The sequence below is a fragment of the Homo sapiens genome, chromosome 6 (assembly GCF_000001405.40).
Source record: "Homo sapiens chromosome 6, GRCh38.p14 Primary Assembly".
NCBI lineage: Eukaryota > Metazoa > Chordata > Mammalia > Primates > Hominidae > Homo > Homo sapiens.
The window spans coordinates 149,080,115-149,086,114 of NC_000006.12; positions in this window are offsets into that span (position 1 = coordinate 149,080,115).

The window sequence follows — 6,000 nt, forward strand, 5'->3', positions numbered from 1 at the left end:
ACACCCAGGCCCACAGATGTTCATGGGTCACAGAATTGTGAACTGACCACTTGTGCATTTTGGATTTCAACTTGTAAACATGGGGATTCCCTTTTTACAAAAAGAAAAAGGAGAGGATGAAAAATCACCATGCAAAGGAAAGTTGAGAGCTAAGTTTTTCCTTTTGGAATCTTGGCATGCGCATTTAGCTATCTTCAATCTGGCTTTCACCAGACGCTGTGTGCTTTGAGCAGGGGTGGAGCAGTCTGCCCTGTGCCGCTCTGCCAGAACATTCAGACTTGACCTGTCACAGGCCTCTTATTCCAGTCAGGAGCAGACACGGCCCAGGAGATGGGCCCTGCCAGACACAGCAGGCTGCCTTTGAGGTGCAACCAGAGAGGCAGTAAAAACCTGGGAGGAGAGCATTTGACTGACTAGGCTGGGGGCTGCCCACCAGTCAAGTCCCCGAGTTCAAGTCCCAGCTGTTCTGTTTCACTGGGCATCAGTGTAAATCATTTGACCTCCATCGGTCTGAAATCGACTCAGCTGGAAAACATTAGAAAGAAAATAAAACATCTACTGAAAACCAAGAGCTGCTTCTGGGATGAACCATTTCCCACCCTTGACCCCTAAATGCTAAAAGACTGAGCCACAACACTTCCTAAGCTGATGAAAGGTTTGTTCTCACCACAGAACACTGTATCCCCAGCAAGAGGGCATAGAATTACATATAGTCATTCCAGGTTGCCTGAAGCCCCCGTTCCTTCATGTCTGCAAGTGGCATTGCCCAGTATGCTGTGAGTCGATGGACAGCAGCATTTCTGAAATGTGAATTGAGCTCCCAGGAGTAGGCACATCCTCCTGGGCATGAGATAGAGCAAATGCAGCAAGGACCTGTCCTGAAGAAGCATCGGTCCCTTCCTCCTGGCCTGGTTTCCACTGTTCTGTTTACTGTGCCATTATCCAAGATAAACCAGTCTGTGGAATTCCACTTTTCTCAAGCATTCTTTGGGACGAGTTTGTCTAGCTGCAAGTTAGAAGATTCAGCTCTAATTCACAGCTTGTACTAAATACAGGCTTCCTCTAACTTATTTAAACTACTGTGTGTATCTGTGATCCCATGACTAATGGTAATAATGAGCCTAAAACATCCATGTGAATTAATACAGGTTGTGCACAAAGAAAAGTGTTAGTAAAAATTGGAAACCTGGCAGGACGGGGGTACTAAACTTCTTGGAGGGTCATTTCTCATTCTCAGAAGTAGTGTTACTGCTGTGATGTGGGAAAAATCTGGCAATGATTTTGTGGGCTGGTGATGTTTCCAGCATGGTTGATTCCCCATAGGACTGCCATGTTGAAAAACTTTAATGTGTTGTATTACTAATCTTTCAAATGCAGAAGAGAGTTAAGACACTGACCACAAACTTCCTTATAGTCACCTTAAGTTTTGCACATATCAAATTTACTATTTGCTTTTTCTCCTTTTGGCACACTTTCCTGTATGGTGTCCATCTTTGGAAACTAGTGAAATTCTAGTCCAATGTGTATTCTCAAAGGATAATTCATGAACCAAGTGTGTGAGATAGGCATGAAAAAAAATCGTGTTAAATAATTTTGGAAGTGCTGCAGTTCATAGTGTGGTGTTACACAGTATGGTAGTATATTCAGAGTATACTAAGGACTCATGCATACTGAAGCATTTTTAAAAATTAATTGATCTTTTGTTGAATTTCAAATTTCTCAAAAGTATTTGCCATGAAACCCTTATTTGCATAAGACCCATTGATATCCTGTGGAACTAGTGTTCTGGAGACTACACTTTGAGAAACAATGCTTTAATGCAAATTATTGGATTACATTTTTCCTCATTGGAAGACTTGTTTTCCTCTTGCTGTGGTTCAATTTTGGTCCGTGCATCGTGCTTGAAGAAAATATATTTGCATCAGATGACGAACATGTTGATAAAAAGAAGATGGGGACAAATAACATTTTTAGAAAATAACAAGGAATCATCTTTCAGTTTTGCTTATTCTCCTAATTACATTCCTCTATCTCGGGAAAAAGTAGAAACTCTTTTCAAGGTAAAATTTTTTATACTTTTCAATATTATTTGGGTACCTTGAATTAATTCATGACTCCCATGAGGATCAGTGCTTAAATCCAACCAAATAAAGGACATCTGTCCCCCTTTCTTCCTTGGGCTACAGTTGCTTGTGCAGTGGAAAGGAAAGCTATGATGAAACAGAAATCGCAGGTGTTTCAAGTAAGGTTGGTGATGGGGATGAGATTGCTCAGCTCCGGAGCTCTCAGCTACTACACACTGGGGCACCTGTGTTGTTCAGTGCACTAGGGGGCGCCGTATCCATAACAATTTACTCAAGAAATCACAAGTTCTTTCCAAACCTCCTTTCTCTCTCTCACTTGCTCATTTTCCTTTATTGCTTTAAAGCAGTATGGCCCAGAAGAAACTCATGGTTGGTGCATTTACCTGGTACATTTACCAGTGTACATACACACTGTTGATCAATAAGTTATTAGCGTTCCCAGGTCTTCTGGCCTGATTTAAGTTTTGTTGCTATTATTTTTAGATTAGCGTTGTATTTTTAAAATCAGTCTTTATCAGATCATCTTTCCTGAGTTTGTTGTATAACTAAAACATGATGACAATTCTGGTTCAGTAATCAAGAGGTGACCCATGTGATGACTGTCCCAGATAACCTTCAGGCAATACCATAATTGCCACAATACAGATAAGTAGAAAGTGTGTTTAATGCAAAAAACAAGGATATAGGAAGATGTCAAGAAAGAGGCATTGCCCCGTTATCAAGGCCGGCCACACTAGAAAAGGATTCAGGTAACTTTCAGTTTAAATTATTTTCATCTACAAAAATTTATTGGCACACATAGGGGCTACATGGGAGGTCAGTAAAGACCTCAGTAAGGAGAAGACCTCATGTGGGATTTGAGCTAGAGCAGCGGAATTTGCAGATAATAGCAAGGCAGATCATAAGCACAAATATCACTCGGCCCTTGCAGCAGATTTGCAAGAAAGAGGCATTGTCATCCCTATGTGTATAACGGGAAACAAAGCCTCCATGAAGTTAAACAATGAGCCCGTGACAGCACAGTAAGGAGCAAAACCAGGATGCACACTCAAATGTAACATGCTCTTGCTTCTTTTTATTGCTTGTAGGAGGCAAGATAAGATTGAGCCAGATTGCTAAAAATTTTGGAAGAAATTTTTATTTACTATAAGGGCAATGAGGAAGCTTTGGGCATTTCAGAACACAAAAGTGACATGAGGAAATCATTTTCCTTCTTCTAAATTAATTAGCACCCTGTGTATCTCCCCCAGCCCTGCCTACTTCTTTGCAGATCTCTAATCTCTGTGTAGATGGTTATATGGATTAGGAAACTAAGGCTCAAAGAGGCAAATTGATTTTCAAGAGGTCACATAGTGGGTATAGTTGATTCTAGAACCTTCTGGCTGCTTATCTAGCACTCTTTTGTCTACATTATGCTGCCATAGCCAATGTATAGAAAATCATTTTCATCATTCATTGAATATGTTTATCACATAATAACTTCAGGGTTCCTCGGTGAACAGCATTTGGACTCTTGGTCTGAGAGTTTGATTAAACATAATAGAGACAACTACTGTTCATTTGGGGCAGTTTTGAAGGCTCTAATTCCAGACACAAACCTGAAATGAGAAGACCCTACCAAACTAAAACCTGTGTCTTACCTGATTTGATCTTTACTACATTCTACCTACGCCTTTTTGCACAAATCTGAATTTCAAGGATGTAAAGAGAAAAAAGGGCAGTGTGGTTAGATTTAGACATAAACTTGGTTGAATACAAATTAAAAATGTCCCCTTTTCCCACTCCCTGTAAATCAGTATCCAACTCTTGGGTGCAGGATATTGAGTGGGGAAGGGGAGGAGTGGGGCAGAAGGAAAAGAAGTCAGGAATCCAGGCTTCCCAGTCTCTCTGCCACTTACCTCCCTAAAGACTCCTCTTCATTTCATCTCTGGATTTCCAGGTACTTAACCCCTGTGATGGTCAGGTGAGATAGGAGAGGTTCCTGTTTCAGTTATAACTTGCACTGGGGCTGTTGTCAGCAAATCCAGGCCTCTAGCTATTTTCCAGACTGGTCAGAACACTAACCTGAAACCCAGAAGTAACTGCCAGGGCAGAGGTAAGTCACTGGTGGCTTCTGCCTCTACATAGAGCCTTGGATCCCCCAAACACTCTTAGATCCTGGGAGTACTGATGTTTGCCTTTTCTATCTGCCCTCTTTTCTTGGCTTCTCCTTTCTTTCTTTTTAAAATAGCATAAATGAAAAATACAATTCAAAATTAAAATGAGTTTATTACTTCAAATATATCTTTGTGCTCCAGTGAATTGACAGGATTTATTTATGCTATCAAAGTAAATCAAATGAATTTGATTTTGGGGGTGGAGATGAACTTTAAACATAGGCAAAATGAAAGAAATCACAAAGAAAAAAATACTAGAATCTCTGAGTTTCAAATAAAAAAGAACTCAGTTAAAAAGTAAACAAATGAGGGGAAACATTTGTAGCAGACATGGCAGATAAAAGACTGAAACTGCTAATCTTAAGGAACTTACATAAATCAATAAAACGAATAAAATGTGCAAATGACACATTCATTCTCAGACCTTAGCTATTTCAAAAGCTAAGAAACAAGAAAAGTGTTCATCCTCATTAGTAATCAAAGAAGTTTGAACAGAAGCAATGTGGCATCACTGGAGATGCTTTGGGGCAAACATATTTAGGTATGTGAATGCCTGAGATGAGGAGAGAGGTTAGTGAAGTACTCACTCTCGCTCTGCTGATGATGGGAGTAAAATTGATACATTTCTGAAAAGTAATTTGGTAATTCAGATAAAAACCTACAATAAACACTGAGATTCTAACTATTTTGAAAGCCCTACCCCGAATACTTATTTCGTAGCTATAGCATCAAATCCAAAATCTAGAATCATCTAAAGATATTAGTCATGTAATATCAAATTACTCAAAGTCGTAGTCTAAAATGCTTTGATAACAATATCTCTCAACCTTCAAGAAACGTGAACATAGCTTTTACTTGAATTAGAATATGTAGGTTATAGTACATTGCCTAAAGAAAAAAATTTAGTCTAAATTTAGTCTAAATGAGACTAAAAAAAAATTTAATCTCATTATCTTATAGTCACTCTAGATGTAAACCTCAAAACTCTTTCCTTCTGATTGTGCCACCATAACCAGCCTCCAAAGGTGGAAATGATTTCATCATCACCAGCTTAGCACACTATCCTGGACAGGCCATTTCTAAGCCCATTAGAAACATACACTTGCCAAAGGCAGATATAATTTTCCACACTTTCATAGTGGATACAGGTAGGACCAGATTTGAAGTTGGAGCTTTTCGCTTAGGTGGGTTATATTTTAATTAAGAAGGTCATTATGAAATTCCACTAGGTCAAATGTTTCTAGAATATTGTCCCAGTATCTCTTGCTAATTTCATTATAGTTAAACATTTGTTGAAATAGAATTGGTTGTGAAGAGCACAAACCCATGTGAGAGTAATTATTCTTGTAGAGAATCTCTACAGATTTGCTGAGATTTTCTCTTTAGCAGAGCTCAGATATCTTCAGTTTGCCAAGTTAATGCAGAGATTCTTTTCCAGCTCATTAAGTTAGAAAAGATATTTCTCTTTTATACCCATGTAAATGTGTTATCTGAAGCATCACATTCATAAATGAGAGAATAGACTTGTAATTTAAATGGTCATAACCTAGGGTTTAAACAATCCCCTATTGTCTGTTTCTGCATAGAGCCAAGAAGACAAGTTTTGCCTCCTTAACAGACAAGATGATTTCAGGATCTGAACCAAAATTTTCAATTTGTCTGGTTTTTTTTTTTCCCCCTCCCTCTGTCCTGCACAGGGCCAGGCACACAAAGCCAATCACTTTTTGTGTCAAGTAATATTGGTGATTTTCTGTACTCCA